At 48.2% G+C, this 26,607-nt stretch overlaps 1 protein-coding gene and 2 long non-coding RNA genes across 13 annotated transcripts in view, besides 4 other annotated features; 1 reads left to right on the plus strand and 2 right to left on the minus strand.

Moving 5' to 3' along the window:
- Positions 1-497: 497 nt before the first annotated feature.
- Positions 498-4,422, minus strand: LOC100128276 (uncharacterized). The gene is made up of 3 exons (NR_148996.1): positions 4,403-4,422; positions 3,520-3,679; positions 498-787 (listed from the first exon to the last, which is right to left on the minus strand). It is a non-coding gene; the product is annotated as an uncharacterized LOC100128276 (long non-coding RNA).
- Positions 4,784-4,883: a silencer, noted in NCBI's record as "silent region_5088". NCBI's record gives its function as "represses an Ori minimal core promoter by ATAC-STARR-seq in GM12878 lymphoblastoid cells {active_cell/tissue: GM12878}" and the evidence as "EXISTENCE:reporter gene assay evidence [ECO:0000049][PMID:35858748]".
- GLT1D1 (glycosyltransferase 1 domain containing 1) overlaps positions 4,805-26,607 on the plus strand; it is a 131,491-nt gene continuing 109,688 nt past the window's right edge. For all 11 annotated transcript variants that reach the window (NR_159493.1, NR_133646.2, XR_001748588.2 and 8 more), the window contains exon 1: positions 4,805-4,976. Coding sequence is in view for 7 of the 11 variants with exons in the window: in XM_011537957.3 (XP_011536259.1) it covers positions 4,886-4,976 (91 nt within the window). In the remaining 4 variants the exon portion in view is untranslated. The remainder of the gene's footprint in view (positions 4,977-26,607) is intronic.
- Positions 5,074-5,273: a silencer, noted in NCBI's record as "silent region_5089". NCBI's record gives its function as "represses an Ori minimal core promoter by ATAC-STARR-seq in GM12878 lymphoblastoid cells {active_cell/tissue: GM12878}" and the evidence as "EXISTENCE:reporter gene assay evidence [ECO:0000049][PMID:35858748]".
- Positions 5,074-5,786: a biological region, named in NCBI's record as "H3K27ac-H3K4me1 hESC enhancer GRCh37_chr12:129338353-129339004".
- Positions 5,135-5,786: an enhancer, noted in NCBI's record as "H3K27ac-H3K4me1 hESC enhancer chr12:129338353-129339004 (GRCh37/hg19 assembly coordinates)". NCBI's record gives its function as "activates a minimal SCP1, AML or CMV promoter by ChIP-STARR-seq in naive H9 embryonic stem cells {active_cell/tissue: H9 hESC(naive)}" and the evidence as "EXISTENCE:reporter gene assay evidence [ECO:0000049][PMID:30033119]".
- LOC124903084 (uncharacterized) lies at positions 18,925-23,042 on the minus strand. The gene is made up of 3 exons (XR_007063603.1): positions 22,925-23,042; positions 19,933-20,078; positions 18,925-19,065 (listed from the first exon to the last, which is right to left on the minus strand). It is a non-coding gene; the product is annotated as an uncharacterized LOC124903084 (long non-coding RNA).

Below are 26,607 nucleotides of genomic sequence, written 5' to 3' on the forward strand. Positions count from 1 at the left end.
CTGCGGATCACTTGAGGTCAGGAGTTCGAGACTGCCCTGGCCAAAATGGCGAAGCCCCGTGTCTACTAAAAATGAAAAATTATCTGGGTATAGTGGTGTGTGCCTGTTATCCCAGCTACTCAGGAGGCTGAGGCAAGAGAATTGCTTGAACCCAGGAGGCGGAGTTTGCAGTGAGCGGAGATCCTACCACTGCACTCCAACCTGGGGGACAGAGTAAGACCCTGTTCTCAAGAAAAAAAGGAGGAGGAAAGAGGAATTTGCCCCCCCTTCCCCACCCCCCTCCATTTTCCCCACTGCCTCACTGCTTGAGCGGGCACATTTCATGTCATCTTCTCAGCAACCACCCCCACCATTCCCCCTCCTCCCTCAAACTGGGATTTACACCATTGCTCAGGCCTTCAGACTGGAACTGAATTACACCACCAGCTTTCCTGGTTCTCCGTATGGCAGACAGCAGATCAGGGTTCTTCTCAGCCTTCATGATTACATGAGCCAATGCCTCATAATAAATCTCCATTTACGAATATGAATTTCCCATTAGTTCTGTTTCCTTGGAGAACCCTGACTAATACAGGTATCTACTGGCATTTGGGGAAAAGCATTTTTTCTTTAGGCAGGGATGTCCTATACGTTGCAAGGTGTTAAAACTTCTGGGCCTAGTTGTGAAATATTGACGACATTCCTTAATCATTCTGACAACAAATTTCCTTCTCCATCCCCAAATTTCCAAAAGTCCTCTGGAGAGCAGTTCTGAATCTGGTTCAACCACTCATAAGCTGTAGAGAGACTAGAAAAGAGATAATCACAGAGTCAGGCAATTTTTACCTGCAAGATTTTAAAAAACAGAGTTTTTAAAGTTCTTCGTAGTTTCTTATATTACTGAATTCCTTCCTTCCTTTCATCCCTGCCTCCCTCCCCATCCCTCCTTCCTTCCTTTGTTCCTTTCTTTCTTCTTACTTTTATTACTTCTTTTGTATCATCAAGAATGAGTGTTGAATCCTACTGAATGTTCTTATTCCACCCATTGAGAGGGTCATATGTATTTCTGTTACCGGAAAGGGGTCCTATTTCAGACCCCAAGAGAAGGTTCTTGGATCTCACACAAGAAAGAATTCAGGGCGAGTCCATACAGTAAAGGGAAAGCAAGTTTATTAAGAAAGTAAAGGAATAAAGAATGGCTATTCCATAGACAGAGCAGCCCGAGGGCTGCTGGTTGCCCATTTTTATGGTGATTTCTTGATGATATGCTAAACAAGGGGTGGATTATTCATGCCTCCCCTGTTTAGACCATATAGGGTAACTTCCTGACGTTGCCATGGCATTCCTAAACTGTCATGGCGCTAGTGAGAGTGTAGCAGTTGAGGACAACCAGAGGTCACTTTCATTGCCATCTTGGTTTTGGTGGGTTTTGGCCGGCTTCTTTACTGCAAACTGTTTTATCAGCAAGATCTTTGTGGCCTGTATCTTGTACCGACCTCCTATCTCATCCTGTCACTTAGAATGCCTTAACCTCCTGGGAGGCAGCCCAGCGGGTCTCAGCCTCATTTTACCCAGCCCCTATTCAAGAGGGAGTTGCTCTGATTCAAATGCCTCTGCCATTTCCTCTTTTAATCTATTAATTTAGATTGCTATGGCAGAGGTGACTTACTGCAAACCTATTCTGCCACTTTTCTTTAGTAACCACGATTGTATTTAGGTGGCAGTGTACCCAGTTAATAGACCGCATGTCTTAGCCTCCTTGGATGCAAGAAATGGCCACGTGGCCAACACAATAAAGGCATAGGGCTGTTTGCATTTTTAGGAAGACACTTTAAAATAAAATACACCATCTGGAGTGCACCACTTTTGCCTTTCCTTCCTTCCTGCTGCCTGGAATGTTGATGTGATGGGTGGAGCTGTAGCAGTCCTACTCCTTATCAATTCCTTGATAAGGTGATCTTGAGACTAGAAGCTAAACACTAGCATGATGGAGTAGACAGAGGAAAGTCTGGGTTCCTGGTGATGGTACAGCCACTATATTAGGCTTGGGCCACCTTCTTCTGAACTTAATTTACGTAAAAATAAACTTCAAATTTTTTCTAAACACAAGAATACAGATCGAGGTTATCAAGGAATTGAAGTGAGCCTTCAAGCACTGTGTGAAATGGCACATTCAGATTTCATCTTAAGCAGGCAGCTGCTTCCCAGCTTCAGTCAGCCACAGGATGGTGGCTTCATTTAATCAGATCTCTCATTTTTTAACAGATATCAGAAATTCCAACTTCTATATGAAAGCTCCCAATTAAAAAATGGTGGCTTGGCCAGGTATAGTGGCTCACGCCTGTAATTCCAGTACTCTGGGAGGCTGAGGTGAGTTGACTGCTTGAGCCCAGGAGCTCAAGACCAGCCTGGACAACATAGTGAGACCCCACTTCTACAAAAAATACAAAAAATTAGCCCAGCATGGTGGTGCACATCTATGGTTCCAGCTACTTTTTTGGAAGGCTGAGATGGGAGGATCACTTGAGCCCAGGAGGTGGAAGCTGGAGTGATCCATAATCACACCACGGCACCCCCAGCCTGGATGACAGAGTGACACTGTCTCAAAACAAACAAAAAATAATAGCTCAGCTTTTATGAAAAACACGGTGTAGCCTAAATACATCTAAGGATGATATTGAGCCCACAAGGCTGCCAGTTCAACTCTCCTTAGGGAGGTTCCTTTCTGGGCTCATGCTGAAGTCGCCTTTGTAAAATCAGAAATGTATCTGTTCACATTTAGCTTTTAATATCCCATGGGCAAGGTGAAATAGGGGAAGATCATGGGCAAGTGCCCCCCTCTACTTCTGTATACCACACCAGACACTGCGTTTTATTGCCTCTTCTTGGTGTGTAGCAAATATATCAGGAGTCCACTCAAAACTTATTTATTTATTTAACACTGAGTCTTGCTTTACTGCCTAGGCTGGAGCGCAGTGGCATGATCGCGGCTCACTGCAACCTCCGCCTCCTGGGTTCAAATGATTCTCATGCCTCAGCCTCCCAAGTACCTAGGACTACAGGCTTGTACCACCATGCCCATCTATTTTTCTATTTTTGGTAGAGACGGGGTTTTGCCATGTTGGCCAGACTGGTCTTGAACTCCTGGCCTCAAGTGATCCACCCACCTCGGCCTCCCAAAGTGCTGGAATTATAGGAGTCAGCCGCCGTGCCCGGGGTCAAAACTCTTTTTCTAAAATGTCGTTAGAAGGGGGTTGTGACAGCTCTGTGCAACTTGTCCCCTTTCCTGTTTGCTTATGTAATTCTGTTGGAAAGTATTAAGTTGTTTAGCAGAATGATAATATTTTCAGATCGCTTTTGTCCTTTAAAAAGGATGTGGCCTGCCTGCCTGGTGCCTGGGAAGCTGAAATACCAGGAAGAAGAGCAAAATCCTGGGTGTTTTTTTGAGAGTGAGAGGAGGACAGGATTTTGATTGTTCTACAATGATATACAACTCTTCCCTACTCCATGCCACACTGAGAGGCAGAGTGGTGGACGTACCTGGGAGAAGCCTGCGGAGCCGAATGTGCCCTCCAGGATGGACTTTTATATCTTGATAAGCCTGGGGGTCACCATGCTGCGTAGGGAGGCCGGAGACCTGCCACTGACGGTGGTTATCCCATGTCATGGCTTTCTTCATTCCCACTTTACCTTTTTGAGGCTGGAAGGTATTTAGGGGATGACAGAAAATCAAGTTTGAAGGTCAATGGAAATATTGGGCACCCACTAGAATGTCCCACATCTGTAAATACATGTGCATCTTTGTAAACACTTAACAGCTGTTTTGGGGAGTGCTTGTTTAAATCCACAGATGGCATTTTGCCAGAGGCCTCCTTCAGTTCCCTATTTCTCTCACTCAAGGTATCCTAGTTTGGAGATCCAGACCAGGTGCAGCCCATGTACCCTGATGAACCCCAGGTTCCCCTCTCCAACATCTTTCTCACCCGACAGGTGCGGCCCTGAAATGGGTTTCTACTGTCTCCTCACACAGTCCCCATGTTCCCCTCCTCGGGTTAGTTTTAGGGTAGTCTAGCCTGGGAAGGAATTTGGGACTGATCATGCCACGTTCCCTGGAATGGGACTAGAAAGGAATCCTGGGCTTCGTGCGGACCAAGGCCCCACTCAGGTTGTCATGGAAAATGAGGCTGAGAGCCCCTCTCTGCAGCACCCTGTGGGACGGAACCCGAGGTCTCTGCTGGTCCCGGTGGGCACAGACCTGCAGCCAACCCGGTGTTCCGTGAAGCCCTGATTTCCCAATGAAGCCCATGGAAGCCATCACTGGTTTCCATGGGAGCGGACCATGGCCACCCCTGCTCCTGTTCCCTGTGGGAAAGGACCAAGGCCGCCCCTGGTCCTGGTCACTGTGGGAAGGGACTGTGGTCACCGCTGGTCCTGGTCCCCTTGGGAGGGACTGTGGTCACCGCTGGTCCTGGTCCCCGTGAGAATGGTCTGTGGTCACCGCTGCCTGTTCCCTGTGGAAGGGAACGTGGTCACTGCTGGTCCTAGTCCTCTTGGGAGGGACTGTGGTCACCGCTGGTCCTGGTCCCCGTGTGAGGGACTGTGGTCACCGATGGTCCTGGTCCCCGTGGAAGGGACTGTGGTCACCGCTGGTCCTGGTCCAGGTGGAAACAGACCGCGGCTACCCTGGTGATGGACCCCACGGGGCACACCCGCGCCACCCCGCACCCAGGGCTCGCGCCGCCCGAGGCCCCCGGTTCCTGTCCCCCTCCCCGCCTGGCGCCGGAACCTGCGAGCTGGGGCGCGGCCTCGGGGAGGGGCGGGCGGGACAGACCCAGCCGCCCCGGCTCCCCCGCCGTCCGCGTCTGCGCCGGCCCCGGGGCCTGGTCGGCGGCGGCGGGGCCGGTCGATGGCCCGGGCGGCGGCGGCGGCATGCGGCTCCTGTTCCTGGCGGTGCTGCGGCCACACACCGGCAACGCGGTCACGGCCCAGCGCGTTCGGTAGGTGCAGGGCGCCGGGGCCTACGAAGCCTGGGCCGGGGGCCGGGGGGCGGGGACGCGGGACCCGGGGACGCGGGGCGCTCAGCCAGGCCCCCTCCAGCCGCGCCGGGGCCGTCCCGAGCCGCGCGCACAAACGGATGGGCCGGTGCCGCCTGCCGGGCGCGCGGGGGTCGGTGCCTTCTGCGTGGCGCGCGTGTCCCCGGGTCTCCGTGCGGCCGGCGCATTGGCCTCGCGCTCTCCGGAGGGGACTGAGCAGGTGAACAGGCCCGGAGCCTGTCGTGGAGGGGCCCGGGAAGGCCTCGCTGCAGAAGCAGGATGGGAGCAGGATCCGCAGGGATGCGCAGCGGGGTCCGCGGAGCTCCCGGCGGGGGCGCGTTTCCAGGCCGGGGACCGCGGTGCCAGCCCTGCCCTCGCGGATCGGGTCTCGGCTGTGTGCCGGCGTCCGGGGTCCTGTCCCCGAAGTCCCTTTCCCACCTCCCCTCTGCCCTGTCTATTCTCGTCTTCCTGGCTGGTTAGCTCCTTCACACTCATCTTTTTCTGCCTTTGTCTTATTTGTTTACTTGTTGGTCTGTGTTCTGGTCGCTGGAACGCAAGCCCGGCGGGGGCCCGGGGAGGGGCCGCCGCGTTAATCCCGCCGCCTCCCACCCGCACAGCGGGCGCTCGGCCTGTATTAGCCGGATAAACATATTCCTTGAGGCGAAGCCTGGGAAGTGCCAGGATTAGAGCCTGCAGCTTAACAGAAGCCGTGTGTGTGTGTGTGTGTGTGTGTGTGTGTGTGTGTGTGTGTGTAAAAGCGGACTTGCTTCATGAAATTTCCCGATTTACTTCCCTTCTGTGGGCCTGTTTCCCCATCAATTTATTTTTTTGAAATGGAGTCTCGCTGTGTCACCCAGGCTGGAGTGCAGTGGCGCAATCTGGGCTCACTGCAACCTCCGCCTCCTGGATTCAAGCATTCTCCTGCCTCAGCCTCCCAAGTAGTTGGGATTACAGGTGTGCACCACCACGCCCGGCTGATTTTTGTATTTTTAATAGAGACAGGGTTTCACCATGTTGGCCAGGTTGGTCTCGAACTCCTGCCCTCAGGTGATCCGCCTGCCTCGGCCTCCCACAGTGCTGGGTTTACAGGTATGAGCCACTGTGCCCGGCCTCCTCATCATTAAAATGAGCAATTGAGACTCCACCAACACTTTCATGTCCCTTTCAGCTAATTTCTCCTAAAGATCATAAGCAGAAATGACCAAGAGAGGATCCATCAGTTTTCTGAAATTTGCTGGAAAATTTACACTCAGGTTTCATGGTGCAGGTTTCTATTAAATAGGTCAGTGATGCTCTGCTTGGGTTTAGCAGTGAGGAGCCCTTTGTGTTCCTGGCTCTGTTGGATGAACCAGCATCCCAGTATGGGAGAGGAATGAAGGAGGTGATTTCACATAGGGATTAGTGCTATTAAGAAAGCAAAACTAGGAGGCTGAGGCAGGAGAATCGCTTGAACCTGGGAGGCAGCTGTTGCAGTGAGCCAATTGATCTGGGATCACGCCACTGCACTCTAGCCTGGGTGACAGAGCCAGACTCCATCTAAAAAAAAAAAAAAAAAAAACAACAACAACAACAAAAAAAACAAAAAACCTAGGGCAGGCTTTCATGGCGGCTCAAGCCTGTAATCCCAGCACTTTGGGAGGCTGAGATGGGAGGATTGCTTGAGCCCAGGAGTTAAAGACCAGCATGGGCAACATGGTGAAACCCTCATCTCTACAAAAAAAAATTTAAAAATTAGCTGATGTGGTGTGTGCATGCCTGTGGTCCTAGCTACTCAGGAGGCTGAGGCAGGAGGATCAGTTGAGCCCAGGAGGTTGAGGCTGCAGCGAAGTGACATTGCACCACTGAACTCCAGCCTGGGTGGCAGATCAAAACTCTAAAAAATAAAACAAAACTGTTAACGGAAAGAGGTCCTGATCCAGAACCCGATAGAGGGTTCTTGGATCTTGCACAAGCAAGAATTCAGGGCGAGTCCTTAAAGTGAAAGCAAGTTTATTAAGAAAGTAAAAAAATAAAAGACTGGCTACTCCATAGACAGAGCAGCCCCAAGGGCTGCTGGTTGCCTTTTTTTTTTTTTTTTTTTTTTTTGAGACAAAGCTTCATTCTTTCGCCCAGGCTGGAGTGCAATGGCGGGGTCTCAGCTCACTGCAACCTCTGCCCCCCGGTTCCAGCGATTCTCCTGCCTTACCTTCCGGAGTAGCTGGGATTACAGGCGCCTGCCACCACACCCAGCTGATTTTTGTATTTTTAGTAGAGACAGGGTTTCACCATGTTGGCCAGGCTGGTCTCGAACTCCTGACCTCACGTGATCCTTTGGTCTTGGCCTCCCAAAGTGCTAGGATTACAGGCATGAGCAACTTCGCCTGGCCTTGGTTGTCCATTTTTATGGTTATTTCTTGATGATATGCTAAACAAGGAGTGGATTATTCACACCTCCCCTTTCCAGAACATATAGGGTAACTTCCTGGCATTTCCATGCATTTGCAAACTGTCATGGTGCCGATGGGAGTGTAGCAGTGAGGACAGCCAGAGGTCGCTCTCGTTGCCATCTTGGTTTTGGTCGGTCTTGGCTGGCTTCTTTACTGCATCCTGTTTTATCAGCAAGGTCTTTATCACCTTGTATCTTGTGCCGACCTCCTATCTCATTCTGTGACTTAGAATGCCTTAACCATCTGTGATTGCAGCCCAGTAGGTCTTAACCTCATTTTACCCAGCCCTTATTCAAGACTGAGTTACTCTGGTTCAGACGCCTCTGACAAAACTAGATAAAGTGATTGAGAGGCATGATGATGGCTGAGATGCTTTAGAGAATGTGGTCTGGGAGGCTGTCTCCGGAGATGACATTGAAGCTAAGACCGAAAAGAGGCTGTCACTGAGATCTGGAGGGATGGTCCCAGGAAGGAATAATGGTGAGAACACAGGTCCTGAGCTGTGTGAGAAGCAGAAAGGCAGCCAGGGTCACTGGACTATAGAGAGTTTGGGGCCAGTGCTAGGAAATGAGTCAGAGAGAGAGGCCAAATCTGGCTTGTACATGTGGTGGGGAAAACACTTTGTGCTTAAGAAGTAATTACCACTAAAAAAAACAAGAAAACAAAAAAAGATGGTGAAACCCCATCTCTGCTAAAAATAAAAAAATTAGCCAGCTGTGGTGGCACAGACCTGTAATCCCAGCTTCTCGGGAGGCAGAGGCTCAAGAATCGCTTGACCTGCAAGGCGGAGGTTGCATGAGCCAAGATGGCGCCACTGCACAACAGCCTGGGAGACAGAGAAGACTCCGTTTCAAAAACAGAAAAGAAAATCAAAAACAATGTTGAGTGACCGAAGAACCTGAACGGGCACAGAGTTAGAAGCTTCAGGCAAAAAGGAAATATTACCTGTTATTTAATATTTTGCTCCTAACTTGAGCTGTAAACCCACATCTTCCAAGGGCCCAAACTCACATCCACCCACAAGGTCACGTTACTTTTGTCCCAACTCAGAGGTGAATTAATAGAAAAAATAACTATGTTAGCTGCCGTCCTGAGATTCACTCCCCCATCATTCTGTTGGTGGTGCACTTTTGAAAGTGCCTGTCTTGCTAGGCCTTGGGGCTACAAAGGGGAAGGAGGCGGGCAGGGTTTATGCAGAAGGTTGACTTCAGCTAAACTGGAGTGGAGGGCCATTTAGTCACTTCGTTCTTTCTTTTCCTGGCTGTGCAGAAGCAGAATAAAGGCTGCTATTCAGGCTTTGATGTTTATTCAGACCAGGCGTTTGTTGTCCTTCACCTCAGGAAGGATTGCTGGGGGAAGAAAAAGAAAAAAGCAGAAGTTGCTTGAAGACATCTTCTGCCTTGTGAAAGCTTAGTCTCCTTGAGGAAATGATGCTGGTGTCCTGGACGGGCGGGGAGGGAGGTTCCCTTGGTGACTGAGAGTCCCTGTGATCTAATCAGCAATGAGCAGTGAGGACTGGATGTTCTCCTCCAAAATCTCTGCCAAAGACCCCGGAGACCACCTTCAACTGACCCTGGACACTTGGTGAAGGAGTTCCCCAAATACGTAAATCTGGAGTTCCCATCAGCCTGGCAGAATAGGAGGTCAGAATTAGGTAAGACTGAATTTAAAGAAAAAAAGAAGGGGTTCTATTCTTGCACAAGTTGGTCATTGTAAAGCAACACCCCATCTATAAGTAAGGGTGCTAAATCCTCATGAATGTATTGGCCTGGGAAGCACAGAATCCTCTGGGGACATATAGGTGGGGACCGATCCCAGATCAGAGGTCAGGGAAAGCCTTCTCGTGCCTTCCAAGCCCATTCCCTGTTGAAAAATGGCAAGGTCCAGACCAAGTTTGCTTTGTGGCTCAGTGTTCTTTTTCATAATGAGGATGCCAATATGGGTTGTGAATGGAATTAAAAGAGTTAATACACTTTCAGCGTTTTTAAAGCAGTGTCTGGAACATAGTGAGGACTAAGCTCTGATTTTTTTATCTTGCCCAAATTCCTGTCTAAGGGGTCTGGGAGTCATGCCCTACAAACCATAAAATCCCATCAGATGGGTTTTATTTGACACTGTATATCGTGACTTACCTTCCAGTCTGACTCTGGCATAACATTATGAGACAAGAAAAAAAATCAAAATATTTAACCCCAAAACATGCTTCTGTGCCATATCTTGAAATGGCCCTGCAGAGCCATCCTTTGTGGGAGGAAAATCTGCATCTGTAAAGAATTTCTGCCGGGCCTGGTGGCTCACGTCTGTAATCACAACACTTTGGGAGGCCAAGGCAGGTGGATCACTTGAGGTCAGGCATTGGAGACCATCCTGGCCAACATGGTGAAACCCCGTCTCTACTAAAAATACCAAAATTAGCTGGGCGTGGTGGCACACACCTGTAATCCCAGCTACTTGGGTGGCTGAGGAAGGAGAATTGCTTGAACCCAGAAGCAGAGGTTGCAGTGAGCTGAGATCACACCATTGCACTCCAGCCTGGGCAACAGAGGGGGACTCAGTCTCAAAAAAAAAAAAAAAATCTCCATTAACATAGCTAGATCTTTTTCTTCCATGCCCTCCCAATCCTGAAGAGATTAACTAAAAGTCTAGCACCTTTTAAAGATCTGAAGAGGAAAAATTTGTCATTTATTGTTTCTAAGGGCAGCCACCGTAAGACTTCAAAGGAACGTTGGTCTCCACAGTCTTTTATCTTAACTTGAACATTTCCTTTCTATGGATCCCAGGTCTTAAGACAAGCCTCAACCAATTGTCAGCCAGAAAATGTTTAAATTGACCTATAGCTTGGAACTGCCCTTCCTCCCCGCAACCCCCATGCTTTGAGTTGTCCTGCCTTTCTGAACCAAACCAATGTATTTCTTAAATGTATTTGATTGATGTCTCATGCCTCCCTAAAATGTGTAAAACCAAGCTGTACCTCGACCTCCTTGGGCACATGTTCTCAGGACCTCCTGAGGGCTGTGTCACAGGCCATGGTCACTCATATTTGGCTCAGAATAAATCTCTTAATATTTTACAGAGTTTGACTCTTTTCATCAACAACAGTTGTGAGCTATTAATCAGCATAATGGGCCTTAGTTAGCAAGGTGGGAGAACGGAGGGGGAGGCGTCTTAGGCAGAGCGTCAACCAATGGGATGGGAAGAGACCATCTCTTCCAGAGCTGAGAGTCACGCAGCCTTCACAGCACAGAATCCTGTAGATCAGCGACTCTGCCTCCGGAAGAGCATGGGGCACAGAGGATGTGCCGAGGAGGGGGAGCCATTTTGCCCCCAGGGCCGTTGGGCAAGGTCTGGAGACATACTTCGCTGTCACCACTAGTGTTGGGGGCTACTGGCATTGAGTGGGACGCCACTCCACACCCTGTAGTGCACAGGGCAGCCCCTCCCCAAGAGTGACCCTGCTCCACATGTGAACAGGGCTTTGCTGATGAACCCTTCTCTAGGTGGGGTCAGGAGATGTGGCTGGAGAGGGAGACAGGGCCACGCGACACCTTCAGTTTTGTGCCAAAAACAGGATTGCACCATGAAAGGCCATGAGATTTGTGTGTAGTTGAAAATCATGTATGTATTTGGGTTTGGCATATTTAAGAAGTAAAATGAACAGGACTTGGCAGTTGAGTGTGGGGAATGAAGGAGAGAAAAACCTGTGATTTCCTTCATGATAGAGGGAAAATACTGGGAAAAAAAGACAGGAAAATCTAAAGCTTCTGCTGTCTAGTAGTTTTTTAGAAGATGTAGGTGACAGAATGGAATAATGTGTTTCTTGGGCAAAAAATCTGGGGGATCAATAACTTGAGAATTGATGTCGTATTGTCTGTGTGTCACGTTAAATATTCTTCAGTATAAAGTGTTCAGGGTGTGTAAGTTTCCTTTAAGTATAACCTGTGAGCTGCTAGCGAGTATTCTGAATACCCTAATGTGGCACCTACACTCTAGAGATGTCTCCTAAGCAATGTAACATTAGCAACCCACGTCAGAAGATTTGTTCATTAGCATAAAGCATTTCAGAAATTAGGCTGGCGCGGTGGCTCACGCCTGTAATCCCAACACTTTGGGAGGCCGAGGCGGGCAGATCACCTGAGGTCAGGAGTTCAAGACCAGCCTGGCCAACATGGTAAAACCCCATCTCTACTGAAAATACAAAAATTAGCCAGGCGTGTTGGCTGGCACCTGTAGTCCCAGCTACTCGGGAGGCTGAGGCAGGAGAATCGCTTGAACCCAGGTGGCAGAGGTTGCAGTGAGCCGAGATTGTACCACTGCACTCCAGCCTGGGTGACAGAGTGAGACTCCGTCTCAACAAAAAGAAATTAGTAGTGTCTAAGATATGTGGTTCACTGGGAAGACGACACAGGCTTTTGACCAAGAAGTCAGGGAGCCCTCACCTGCTGGGCAGCCCTTGAGGGGTTGCCAGCTCTATTTGGTCTTGCATCCCTGCCATAACCCTCTGTCATCTGGCTTAACTAGATTGGCTAGTGTGGCTGCCAGTATGGTCCAGTGTGGACTCGATCCTTCGGGCAGGGTGCTTGGAGAACACAGAGAGTTCTGCAGCCCAGCAGAATAGACCGTTTTGTGTGTGTGTGGCTGAATCTGGAGTGAGAGTTCCTCTCATTGTAGGGCACACCTGGTGGTGAGGTTGGAAGGAAGAGGTCAGAAGGGTCCCCACCCCCCTCTGATCCCCTGAGAATGAACATTTGCCAGGAGAGCCAGGCCGTCCTCACGGAACCGGGGAAATTGGTCTAGGTCAGTTTCTAACGGTGAAGTTCAAAATTAAAAGCAGCTCTGGTAAGTGAAAAAATAGAGTCTGACACCTAGAGAACCAAGTTCATGTCACCTGTGGAGGGGGATAAACTGCACAAGGAGTGGATGTAAAAAATATTCACGCCGAGAGTAAGTTGTGGAGTTGTTTCAAAGGGTGCCCCCCGTTATGCTAAAACAGGAGGCTAGTCCTTGGAAACACTGAAATCATCTTCTAAAACCAGGGCGACAAACTGCTGCCTGCCCGGGGTGAAACGCAGCCTCCCTGCCAGTTTTGTAAATAAAGTTGTAGTGGCCCCAGCTATACTATTATACGCTTACGTGTTGTTCACATTTCTGCTTTTGCTTCTCAGGGGCAGAATGGAGTAGTTAGAACAGAGGCCCTCTGACCCACGAACCCAAAGGTATTTCCTCTCTGTCTGCTTCCAGGAAAGGCCTTCTGACCCGTGCTCTACATCTTGATATCAGATATTCACTAGATAACTGAGTTGCATGCCTAGGGTATTGTCTGCAGAGCTGCCAAGGGTACTGGGGAAATGCGTGAAGATGGTCTCGGGAAGAGAACAAAATAGAGCATTTGGTCCTCCTCGGCCCAGAGCAGGGAAGCCCAAGGGGCAGTTCAGTCCAGCCAGGAGTGTGTTGACATCAGAATGATGGCAAATGTTGTCACACTCATAGCTGGACTTGGTGCAGCGGGGTGGTGACTGTGTGTTTGTTGTGTTTCTCCATCTGGAACGGAGAGTGCAAAGGTGTGTTTGTCGGAATGGGAAGCATTTTAGATAATGGGGGCAGATCGGAGCACTACAGGACACGGACCAGAAAGGAGAGAAAGCGAAGGAAGAAATGCAAACATCCTTTGCATCCAAGGCAGTACTTTCCCTTCCAGGCCCGGCTACTTTCTGGCCGCATCATTCTGAATTCTCTGTGTCAAGCATTTGGGAAGAAAAAAAAAGTATGAGGAAAAGTTTTCAGGTTTTCTAGATTTTCTTTTGAGGAGTCAAAGGAAAGTGTGAATGCAGATGAAGTTCAGACAAGGAGGCTATTTTATTTTTTCTGCCTTCCTTGGTTTTGTTTGTTTTTTGAAGATCTTGTTACTAATTTTTCCACGTCCAAAGATAGCCATTGAGGCCAGCCGCGGTGGCTCACGCCTTTGATCCCAGCATTTTGGGAGGCTGAGGCAGGCAGGTCACTTGAGGTCAGGAGTTTGAGACCAGCCTGGCTAACATGGTGAAACCCTGTCTCTACTAAAAATACAAAAATTAGCTGGGCATAGTGGTGCATGCCTGTAATCTCAGCTACTCAGGAGGCTGACACAGGAGAACTGCTTGAGCCTGGGAGGTGGAGGCTGCAATGAGCCAAGATTGCGCCACTGCAGTCCAGCCTGGGTGACAGAGTGAGACTCTGTCTCAAAAAAAAAAAAAAAAAAACCACAAAGATAGCCATTGAAAGTTGTTGCTGGGCGCTGTGGCTCACTCTTGTAATCCCAACACGTTGGGAGGCTGAGGCAGGCAGATTGCTTGAGTTCCGAAGTTTGAGACCAGCCTGGGCTACATGGTGAAACCCCATCTCTACAAAACATACACCAATTAGCTGAGCATAGTGGTCCCAGCTACTCAGAAGGCTGAGGCAGGAGGATCACTTGAGCCCAGGGAAGTTGAGGCTGTGATGAGCCATGATGGCACCACTGCACTCCAGCTTGGGCAGCAACAGAATGAGACCCTGTATCACACAAAAAGAAAGTTGTTAATATCTTCATTCAGCAGATATTTTTTGAGCGTCTCCCATGGGTACAGTGCTGTGTAGGCGCTACACACAGAGCCGGCGTCAGCAGTCCCTGTCCTCAGGAGGCAGCCGCTCAACCACAGACAGCTTGCGCACATCAGCTCGATGCTAAGCATTGTCACTTGGAAGACAAGTCTAGCATTCTAGCATGGAAGACAGACACAAGCACGTAATTACCCAAACATTTGTCTGATTGTGATACGATCAGTGCTATGACAGAGAAGTGTAGGGTGATGACAGAGAGAGGACTCTGAATAGAGCCGACCTAGTTCCAGAGGGCGTAGGGTCCAAGGAAGAGCTTCCCTTTCCCCCTCTGAGGGTTCACTGAAAACCAGCTGGGCAAAGACAGACTCATAGGAGACACGGCACACACCTGTGTTGGTCATAGTTTTACATGACATGGGAGCCTTCAGAATGAAGACCCAGAGACACGAGAGACTGGCCAGTTTATGCTTAGGTTCAACAAGGTACGGACAGCCACATGGGAATAGGATGGGATGAAAAGGGTCTGATCGAACACCGATAGACTGCTTGGGGAGGCCCAGCAAGGCGAGTCTGTCTGGATTCATCTTCGCCCCTCTGTGCAGCCTTCTTTCCTTCTGGTACAAGGCAGGCCCGCTCTGGAATGGGAGCTTTGTGACTTGCAATCAAACAAGGTAGTTTGGATAATTTATTATTTTTTTTTTTGAAATGGAGTTTTGCTCTTGTTGCCCAGGCTGGAGTGCAGTGGCGTGATCTCGGCTCACTGCAACCTCTGCCTCCTGGATTCAAGTGATTCTCCTGCCTCAGCCTCCCAAGTAGCTGGGATTACAGGCATGTGCCACCGCACCCAGCTAATTTGGTATTTTTTTAGTAAATAGAGACGGGGTTTCACCATGTTGGTCAGGCTGGTCTTGAACTCCTGACCTCAGGCGATTCACTCGCCTCGGCCTTCCAAAGTGCTGGGATTACAGGCGTGAGCCACCGCACCTGGCCTGGGATAATTTCTTTATGGTCAGGTTTTACACAGGAAGGCAGGGGAAAGTTAGAGTAATAATTTTGGGTTTCACTGGCTAACGCAGTGAAACCCCGTCTCTACTAAAAATACAAAAAAAGTAGCCACACGTGGTGGCGGGCACCTGCAATCCCAGCTACTCGGGAGGCTGAGGTAGGAGAATGGCGTGAACCCGGGAGGTGGAACTTGCAGTGAGCCAATATCGTGCCACTGCACTCCAGCCTGGGCGACAGAGCAAGACTCCATCTCAAAAAAAAAAAAAAAAAAAAAAAAGTGTATAGATCTGAATACTATCTGGAAGGACCCTGCGATGCTGTGGCAGCGGGGAGAGAAGAGCACTAGGGGGACTTCCAGGGGCCTGGCTTGTGCCGCTGTGTGCACTGTGGGCAGGTCCCTGCACGTGGAATGCTGGCTGATGCCAGCTCGGCTGGGGCAGGAGAGTCTTAACATGCTGACTGCGAGGTGCCTGTCAGACGACACACTGTAAGTTTTTGTTGAATTAGGGCAGTTGCAACCCACGGGCACTCCGAGAGGCTTCCGGGCTGAAGATGAGAAGCTGAGTGTGGGATGAAGTTTGCTTAGTCCTGCACTAGGGGTGGGGCAAACTGGGATATAACATGATCAGAAAGGAGACAGGCTGGGAAGGCAGAGGGCCCCGGAAATCCAGAAAACTTAGGGAAGCCGAAGAAGAGGAATTTCCCAAGCAGAAGGGCTGGTTAGCGAGGCTGGATGTTGCTAACAGGCCCATCTGCTCAAGACGCCAAAGGGGCAGTGAGGGTTGGCACCTGAAGGTCCGTGGAGATCTTGTCTGATCTTGTTCCGCAGGAGTAGTGGCAGGTGGAAGCCCAGGAGTGGGCAGCCATGGGAGATGGAGACGGTGAATGTGTGCCACACTTTCATTTCCAGAAGTCCTTTTGCGATGAGCAGGGGAGGAGAGAGTAGAGCCTGATTCGGGGAGGATGCTGGGTTGCTGGGGAAACCTTCTAAGGGGCTCGGGCATATTTGATGCTGCCTGAATGTGAGTGGGAAGAGGAAACAGGGAGAGGCATGACTGTGGGGGTGGTTAACTCCTGAGCTGTTGGGGAGGGGTGAGCTGGAGAAGGAGTGTGGCCTCTGCTGGGACCTCAGGGAGAGGCCCAGAGGCCTGCATGTGCCAGAGGGGTGGGCATGGTGGGGGGCACTTGACGGTGTGCCTGTCTTGCAGCTGTGACTTTCTCTGTAGAGGAGGCAAGGCCATGAGCTGCTGGTAGCAGGACAGATAAGGACCTCAGAGGCTGGAGGAGAGGGAAGGTGTCACCACCCCAGCCCTCCCTGGTTCATTGCCAAAGCCTCTTAGCTTGTCTCTTTTCACTTTCAACACAGCAGTCAGGCTGAGTCTGGTGAAATGCTCAGCCAGATTGCATCTCTTCTCTGCTTCACATCCAACACACGCCGAGGCTTCTGCCAGGACCTGCTATCCTCTGCGCTGTGGGCCCCTCAGTGACATAACCTTCCCAGACCCCTGTGAACTCCCAAAGCCCAGCACATCCCACGTCAGGCCCATAGCACCTGCTTTTCTGATATTCTGATATAATACCCACTGATGTTATTTTTTGTTTATTTGAATTTATTTTTAAAATTTACATTGTTACTTTTAGTTTGACAACTAGTAATTATATATATTTATGGGATACCATGTGATGTTTTGGACTATGAATACATTGTGGAATGATTATATCACGGTAATGAACATGTCTATCACCTTGAAGACAGTCAGTATTCCGTATCTGTGGGTTCCATGTCTGCAGTTCCAAGCAACTACAGATCAAAATGTTAAAAAATATATAGAAATAAAAAACAACACAGGCCGGGCCCGGTGGCTCACGCCTGTAATCCCAGCACTTTGGGAGGCCGAATTGGGCAGATCACCTGAGGTCAGGAGTTTGAGATCAGCCTGGCCAACATGGCAAAATCCATCTCTATTAAAAATACAAAAATTAGCCAGGCGTGGTGGCATGCGCCTATAATCCCAGCTACTCGGGAGGCGGAGGCAGGAGAATCGCTTGAACCTGGGAGACAGAGGTTTCAGTGAGCCAAGATCGCACCACTGCACGCCAGCCTGGGTGACAGGGCGAGACTCTGCCACGAAAACAAAACAAAACAAAACAAAAAAACCCAAAAAACCAAAAACCCCCCCAAAACCCCAAACAATACAGCAGAACAACTATTGAATAGCATTTCCATTGTATTAGGTATTATAAGTAATCTAGAGATGATTTAAAGTATACAGGAGGATGTGTGAAGGTGATATGCAAATGCTGTGCCATTTTATATCTGGGACTTAAGCATCCTTGGATTTTGTTATCCACAGATTCCCAGGGGTGATTGTACCTTTTTTTTTTTTTTTTTTGAGACAGAGTCTTGGCTCTGTTGCCCAGGCTGGAGTGCAGTGGCATGATCTTGGCTCACTGCAAGCTCTGCCTGCCGGGTTCATGCCATTCTCTTGCCTCAACCTCCCGAGTAGCTGGGACTACAGGTGCCTGCCACCATGCGTGGCTAATTTTTTATATTTTTTAGTAGCAACCTGGTTTCACCATGTTAGCCAGGATGCTCTCGATCTCCTGACCTCGTGATCCACCCGCCTCAGTCTCCCAAAGTGCTGGGATTACAGGTGTGAGGCACTGCGCCCGGCAATTGTACTTATTATTTTTTGTAGTGAAAACATTTAAAATCTTTTTTTAAGCAATTGAAATATACAGTATGTTATTATTGATGATGGTCACCATGCTGTACAAGCTATTCCTCCTCCTGCCCCCCACCAAGCCCCCCAACAGCCTCTGGGAACCACCATTCTGCTCTCTACTTCTGTGTGCTGGACTTTGTTAGCTCTTCATCTTTTCCCCCACAGTATCCACGTGGTTCGCTGCCTCATCACCTTCAGGCTTTTTTTTTTTTTTTTTCTTGAGACCAAGTCTCTCTCTGTCACCCAGGCTGGAGTATAGTGGCACGATCTTAGCTCATTGCAACCTCCATTTCCCTGGTTCAAGCGATTCTCCTGCCTCAGCCTCCTGTGTAGCAGAAATTACAGGCGTGCGCCACCACACCTGGCTAATTCTTATATTTTTAGTAGAGACAGGGTTTCACCTTGTTGGCCAGGCTGGTCTTGAACTCCTGACCTCAGGTCATCCACCCAATTCGGCCTCCCAAAGTGCTGGGATTACAGGCATGAGCCACTGCGCCAGCCACCTTCAGGTCACCTTCTTTAGCGGGAACTCCCCTGCCCACCCTTCTCAAATGGCAGCCCCTTCCACCACACACTGTCTCCCCGTCTCCCTGGGGCTGGTGGTTTTCCTCCCGAGCAAAAACCTGCCTCTGACATAGAGGAGATTTGCAATTTTCTGGCTCATTGACCTTTTCCCTGCTCTAGAAAGTTGGCCCTTGGGCGCAGTGGCTCACGCCTGTAATCCCAGCACTTTGGGAGGCCGAGGCGGGCGGATCACCTGAGGTCAGGAGTTTGAGACCAGCCTGAACAACATGGTGAAACCCCGTCTCTACTAAAAATACAAAATTAGCCGGGCGTGGTGGCGAATGCCTGTAATCCCAGGCATGTACTCGGGAGGCTGACACAGGAGAAATGCTTGAACCCGGGAGGCAGAGGTTGCAGTGAGCCGAGATCGCACCATTGCACTCCAGCCTGGGCAACAAGAGTGAAACTCCTTCTCAAAAAAAAAAAAAAAAAAACAGAAAAAAAAAAAAGGAAAAGAAAAAAAAGAGAGTTGGCACCTGGAGGGCAGGGATTTGTGCATGTTTTGTTCTTTACTGAACCCTCGTTGCCCCAGCGGTGCTGGGCATACAGCAGGTGCGCTTGGTCACTGAAAATGCATGAGAGGTTCCGACGCAGTAGTGAGCAACTTGGGATCCCATCTCACAGATCTCCACTTACCCTCTGCCTCGGGGGTCCCCCAGCAGGCGCCAGTGCCTGGGGCTGCCATGGAGAAAGCTGACCTGGAGACTCTCCAGGGCTGGCGTTGTTCCAGATGCTCACACGCTTACTACAGAAAGACTGGGGGACGGGAGTGGTTAAGGTGTTGACAAGAAAGTAATTGAAATGGCGGAGCATGGAATCTCCCCAGAACTGGGAGAAAAGCTCGGAGGGACTGTGGGTCCGAGGGGGCAGAGGTCAATGGTCTGGAATTCCGAGGAGGCCAAAGGACTCATAATGGAAGGATTGAGGGGATGAGAGACTGCGATGGATTGTGTATAAACTAACAATAAGGGCGCTAAGCTATTACTGTGGTGTGGCTTAGAGATCTTCAGCCTTGAGTAATTGAATTGAAAGCTAAGTTGAATTGAAAACCCAACCTAAATTGTCTTGGACAATAAAGGGAATGTAATGGCTTTTGCCATAAGAAGGCTGGAGGCAGGGCCTCCTCAGGGTGGTTTTCCAGCAGAGGACAGGGACAGGAGTCCACTTATCTCCGTCTCCTGCATCTGCTTCCCTCTCCTGGCAGAATCTTCTCGCCAGCCCCTCCTGGGTCTCCCTGAATCCCAGGTCAGGCCCATGGAGAACCTCTGAGGTTGAGTCTCTGAAAACACGACCCAGGTCCCAGAATTGAACGTCTAGGGGTGGGTGTGTGGAGAGCCGGATGTTTTGATTGGCATGAGCCTGCAGGAGCACCCTTGGATCTGGAGATGGGGCTCGTCCTCCTCAAGTAAGTGCCAGGGAGGGTCGAGGTATTAGGAAGGAGCGTGTGGGAACAGACACTAGAGGCAACACCCCGCCCAAAAGCGTCACTCGTCCGTATGGAGAAGGGAAATGGGAAACGCAGGCCTCCGGGAACTTCTGAAGATGTAGAGGACTAACAGGTGTTGTGGATCTTGAAGGAGTGAGAAATACCATTAGGGAGGTTGGAATTGGGGAGATTCTCACAGATGTTGAAATGCCTGGCTTCTCTGGGTAGATTGGTGACCTTGTAGCAGTGAGTAGCTCCTCGATCAGCTGGGTGCCGACTGCCAGAGCCAGTGGGGTCTGACCTTGCACTCTCGCCTAGAAGCATAATGTGAGCCCCATGGGTCCTGTCAGATTTTCCAGTAGTCACATTAAACATAGCAAAAAGAAACAGATAAAATCAACTTTAATATTATATTCTCTTTCACTCAACATGTCTAAACATGATTTTGATCTATTTTGTTTGTTTTCTTTCTTTTTTTTGAGATGGAGTCTCGCTCTGTTGCCTAGGCTGGAGTGCAATGGCACGATCTTAGCTCACTGCAACCACCGCCTGCCGGGTTCAAGTGATTCTCCTGCCTCAGCCTCCCGAGTAGCTGGGATTATAGGCATGCACTACCACGCCCAGCTAATTTTATATTTTTAGTAGAGACGGGGTTTCTCCATGTTGATTAGGCTGGTCTCGAACTCCTGACCTCAGTTGATCCGCCCGCCTTGGCCTCCCAGAGTGCTGGGAATACAGGCGTGAGCCACCGCACCCAGCCTCGTTTATTTTTTTCTTTGACAGGGTCTCACTCGGTCGTCCAGGCTGGAGTGCAGTGGCACCGTCTTGACTCACTGCAGCCTTGTCTTCCAGGGCTAAAGCCATCCTCCCACCTCAGCTTCCCGAGTAGCTGGGACTACTACAGGCGTGAACCACCACGCCTGGCTACTTTTTGTATTTTTTGTGGAGACAGGGTCTCGCCATGTTGCCCGGGCTGGTCTCAAACTCCTGGGCTCAACCCATTCACCCGTCTTGGCCTCCTAAAGTGCTGGGATTATAGTTGTGAGTCACCATGCCCAGCCCCATCTATTTTGAAATAAATTATATATTTGAAATATTTATGATATAAATAGAATATTTATAAAACATATTTGAAATACACATTATAAATATGTGTATACATATAATTTATATATTTACGTATAAGTAGTAATATATATTATACGTGTGCATGTCTAACCGAGCTGCGTGTGTCTTTCACACTGAGTGCCTTTCTATTTGGATTAGGCACAGTTTTAGTGCTCAGCTGCCCCAGGTGGCTTTCTTTATCTTACTGGACTATGGGGGCCTGACCCTGCAGATGGGCGTCCCCTCCTGTTCGGTGCAGAGCTCATCCTGTCTTATGATTTCACCATCCTCACCTCCAGTTCATTGAATTTCACCTGATCTCAATTGACATTTGAGTTCAAGACACTTCCTGATCTAGTCACTTTGCCTGTTAGGTGATTGAATTTTTGCAGTCTTTTAAAAAAGAGTTCCTGTGTGTATTCTATTTTTTTTTTTTTTTTTGAGGCAGAGTCTTGCTCTGTCATGGCTTACTGCAACCTCTGTGTCCCAGGTTCAAGCAATTCTCCTGCCTCAGCCTCCTGAATAGCTGGCATTACAGGCATGCACCACCATACCCAGCTACTTTTTGTATTTTTAGTAGAGACGGGGTTTCACCATGTTGGCCAGGCTGGTCTCAAACTCCTGACCTCATGTGATCCACCTGCCTCAGCCTGTTGGGATTACGGTCACTCCAGCCTGGGCGACAGAGTGAGACTCCATCTCAAAAAGTAAATAAATTTGCACTCCAGCAAATATTTTTGAGACTGTCTCAAAACAACAACAACAAAAAAACAAAACCAAAACACAGAAATGACCAAACTCTACTGTACACTCAAGTAAAGAGTCTGGTTGCTGGCCGGGGAGCCACAGAGCGTCTGTGAATCTTGAGTCAGGCGCGCACACATAGGCTTCTTCTCTTTGTGGACCTGCCAAGTGCCCAAAATCTCTATGGGAGATGCTTTTGTTTTCAAGAAAGCCTTTTTAAATCAAATCAGAATTATTTGGGAATAATAGGTGCTTAGTGAATTTATTAGTTGAATTGAATTATTACTTGACAGAAGGAGAGAACATAGATCGATTTAAAGGTGTTGCAAGTCAGCCAGAAACAAGGGTACAATTTTAGTTCATGAATAATTTAGATTAGACAAATTTATTTAGAATATTTATGAGATTGCAAAGTTAGTGTCAAAATGCCATTTAAAAATATGCTTAATAGGCTGGGCACGGCGGCACACGCATGTAATCTCAGCACTTTGGGAGGCTGAGGCAGGCGGATCACCTGAGGTTGGGAGTTCGAGACCAGCCTGCCAACATGGTGAAACTCCATCTCTACTAAAAATACAAAAATTAGCTATGTGTGGTGGCACGTGCCTGTAATCCCAGCTATTCTGGAGGCTGAGACACAAGAATCGCTTGAACCCGTGAGGCAGAGGTTGCAACGAGCTGAGATTATGCCACTGCACTCCAGCCTGGCCCACAGAGCAAGACCGTATCTCAAAAACAAACAAACAAAAACACCTTAATAAATCAGAAACTACCGATTGTCTCTATGTAACCACCTGCATTCCACGCACTCTGCTGTATCGATTCTGCATAAGTCATGAGTCCCTCAGGAATGGACTCTCCAAGTAGAATTCAGCCCCTTTTCCATCTATCAGTGTTTATTTTTGGCTTCTCATTTCTTAGAGCTTTACGAAGAACATAAAATAGCAATTATTCAACCATGGTCAGAAGCATGTTGAATCCTTATTTTTGTGTGATGTATTTTATATTTTTTTAGGCTGAAGCGAGCTGATAGCTTGACTGCTGCAGGCATCTTTCCTGATCCTGCTGGTCAGTTACCTTCAGCATTTCCAAAGGATACTAGGTTTGGTGGGGAGAGAAGGAATGTTACTGACCCACAATGACTGGATCAAAATTAACAGTGAAAATGGTAGGCTCAAGATACACGATGCACTTCAGTAAGTTAAACCAACCTAAGTCTCAAGACCCTAGTTATTCTTTATTTGCACAGTGATGTTGTGACACTTTACGTTATGAAAAAGAAACAGAAAGAGAGAGAGAAAAATATCATCCACATATTAGTACAGTGTAGAATCTCACCATATGCCCCAGGGTCAGACGATTTGAACCTCATGTTTCTCTGTGGCTCCCACAGTCCTAGCAACTTGGTCATTTTATGAACACAGTGTTTAAAGGCTCTAGACCTCCCCCTACTTCCTCCTCCTCTGATCTTTGTCCTCCTCTTCTTTGTTTTACTCATGATTTTGTGCAATATTGCTCCTAAATGCACACCAGTTAATTCACCTGGTGTTCAGCTGAATAAATAACTATTTCATTGCTGGAATTACAAAAGAAAAAAGGGCTAGGTTGGACTTGAACTTTGTTCTATAGTACTGTCTGGATGATTTAAGAGATTTTCAAGGGTAATTTTTTTTTAATTTATTTTTTATTTTTATTTATTTATTTATTTTTGAGACGGAGTCTCGCTCTGTCGCCCAGGCTGGAGTGCAGTGGCGCGATCTCGGCTCACTGCAGTCTCCGCCTCCCGGGTTCAAGCGATTCTCCTGCCTCAGCCTCCCAAGTAGCTGGGATTACAGGCATATGCCACCATGCCCAGCTAATTTTTTTGTATTTTTAGTAGAGACAGGGTTTCACCATGTTGGTCAGGCTGGTCTCGAACTCCTGATCCGCCTACCTCGGCCTCCCAAAGTGCTGGGATTACAGGCGTGAGCCACCGCGCCTGGCCGATTCAAGGGTACTTTTAAGTGTACTTGATTTTCATGTATGTGCTGATTTTGTAATCAGTGCCCCAAGTAAGATGTGACTCCATCTTCCCTATAAATGCAGTGCAGAGGGGTTATAACAGAGATAGGCTCAAAACAAAATGGGAATTTTGAGAGACTGTGGTGTGTAGGAACTGGGGCTGTCAGGAGAGTTCTCTGGAAGGAGCTGGCACTAGGAAGTGTCATGTCAGCGGCGTGGAGACTCAAGAAGGAAGCGTGATGTGCCAGAGGTCCTGCTGTGGGAGGGTGGTTGGAGTGGAGTGCACTTCTGCCATGCAGGGTGAGCTGTGTTCTGGGCTGAGGCATTTATCCCAGAGACACGCTCAGCCATTAGTTGATTCCCTAAGCAGGATAGAAATGGTCCCCATTCTCATGCCACTGACAGTTGAGCTGAATACGGTGAGCTCTTTGCAGGTTTTAATCAGAAAAGAGACCTGGTCCCATTTGTTGTGTATCTACATACACACGCACGCTCACACTCACACACATACACACCTCAAACAATTTAAAAAGATAATATATGCATGTGGTAAAAACTATCCAACAATACAAAAGCTCGTGTGTCTCTTTCTTTCTTTCTCTTTCTCTGTCTCTCTCTCTCTCTTGCTCTCTGTTTCTTTCTTTCATTTTGAGACAGGGTCTCGCTCTGTTGAGACCCAGGCTGAAGTGTAGTCGCATGATCATGGCTCACTGCAGCCTTGAATTCCTGGACTCATCGATCCTCCCATCTCAGCCTCCCAAACAGCTGGGATGACGGGTGCATGTCACCACACCCAGGTAATTTTTTAAATTTTTTGTAGAGACAGAGTTTCATCATGTTGTCTAGGCTGGTCTCGAACTCCTGAGCCCAAATGATCCTCCGACCTCTGCCTCCCAAAGTGCTGTGATTACAGGTGGGAGCCACTGCACCTGGCCTGACTCTCCTCTTTGGACACAATCATTGTTATCTCTTTTTAATGTATCCTTCTAGAGATATTCTATGCCCACACAGTGTATATACCCAAAAGTATTCTTCACTGTGCTCTGTTTTCATTAATAGTGAATCTTGGAATTCATTCTTAATACTTCATAGTGATCTATTGCATTCTTTTGATGGCAAAAGAACATGATTAGGTCCATCTACCATAATATAACGAGGGCCCTGCGGATGCACGGTGAGGTAGTTTTTTGGTCTTTTTGCTACTTCACAGCTGCAGTGCGTATTCCTGGGTGCATGCTTTTGCACATATATCCAAGTCCATCTTTGGAATAAATATCTAGAAGTGGAGTTATTTGGTCACAGGGTTTGTGCATTTAAAATTTTCTAGCTGCTGTTGCATTGCCCACTAGAGAGGTTGTACCAATTTGCTCTCTCACAGATAATGTATAGGAGTGTTTATTTCAGGAGGCCTCAGGTCAACATTTTAATCTTTACAGATTTTCTGGATTAAAAAGATGGCTGATATTGAGCATCATTTTCTTTGTTCAAGAGTCCAGTTGTATTTCTTTTTCTATGGACTGCAATTTTGTGCCCATCTTTATTTTTCTTTTTCTCTTTTCTTTCTTTCCCCCTTCCTTCCTTCCCTCCTTCCCTCCCTCCCTCCCTCCCTCCTTCCTTCCTTCCTCTCTCTTGCTCCCTTTCTCTTTCTTTCTCTCTTTCTTTTTCTTTCTTTCTTTTTCTTTCTTTCTTTCCTTCTGTTTCTGTCTTTTTCTTTTCTTTTCTCCTTCCTTCCTTCCTTCTTCCCTTCCCTTCCCCTTCCCCTTCCTCCCTCCCTCCCTCCCTGCCTCCCTCCCTCCCTCCTTTCTTTCTTTCTTTCTTTCTTTCTTTCTTTCTTTCTTTCTCTCTCTCTCTCTCTCTCTCTCTCTCTTTCTTTCTTTCTTTCTTTCTTTCTTTCTTTCTTTCTTTCTTTCTTTCTTTTTTTCTCTTTCTTTCTCTCTTTCTCTCTTTCCCTCACTCTGTTGCCCAGGCTGGAGTGCAGTGGCACGATCTTGGCTCACTGCAACGTTTGCCTCCCGGGTTCAAGCAATTCTCGTGCCTCAGCCTCCCCAGTAGCTAGGATTACAGGCATGCACCACCACACCTGGCTAATTTTTGTATTTTTAGTAGAGACAGGATTTCACCCTGTTGGCCAGGCTGGTCTTGAACTCCTGACCTCAAGTGATCTGCCTGCCTCAGCCTCCCAGAGTGCTGGGATTACAGGCTTGAGCCACTGTGGCTGGCTTTTTTTTTTTTTTTTTTTTGAGACAGGGTCTTGCTCTGTCACCTAGGCTGGAGTACAGTGGCACAGTCGTAGCTCACTCAGCCTCGACCTCATAGGCTCAAGCAGTAGTCCCATCTCAGTCTCCCAAGTAGCTAGGACTACAGGTATGTGTCACCATGCCCAGTGCATTAAAAAATATTTTTTATAGAGACAGGGTTTCACCATATTGACCAGGCTGGTCTCAAACTCCTGGGCTCAAGCAATCTGTCTGCCTCGAACTCTCAAAGTGCTGGGATTACAGGCGTGAGCCACCTCACCCAGCCCTCATGTCCGTTTTCCTATTGTGTTGTTAGCCTTTTTTCTTTATTGATTTACGAATGCTCTTTATATATTAAGCAGATGAGCCTTTTTCTATAGTAACAGTCGTAAATAGTTTTTTCCCCAGTTTCTCATTTGTCTTCTGATTTTGTTCATGTTGTTGTCACTATTGAAAAAATTTCTTTTTTGTTTATGAGGTATTTTATATTTATGTTACCAGGAGCTGAAACTAAGGTGGAGACAAAGAGAAGAGACATGTTTGAAAGACATAAATATTGTGTGTGTGTGTGTGTGTGTGTGTGTGTGTGTGTGTAGCAGGTAGAATGGAAAAACCAGGAAGTATTTTTTTTGAAGCTATGATAATAGGTGACTTTTGAAGTCTTTTCAAAGAACCGAGCAACAGAGGCCCAAAAACAATCTTTAGATACCACAATTCAGGGACAGGAGAGAAAATGTGGAATTAAGGAAATAGAAAAGGAGCTGCTGTCTGGTATGGCAAATG

This window comes from Homo sapiens, chromosome 12 (assembly GCF_000001405.40).
Source record: "Homo sapiens chromosome 12, GRCh38.p14 Primary Assembly".
Taxonomy (NCBI): Eukaryota; Metazoa; Chordata; class Mammalia; order Primates; family Hominidae; genus Homo; species Homo sapiens.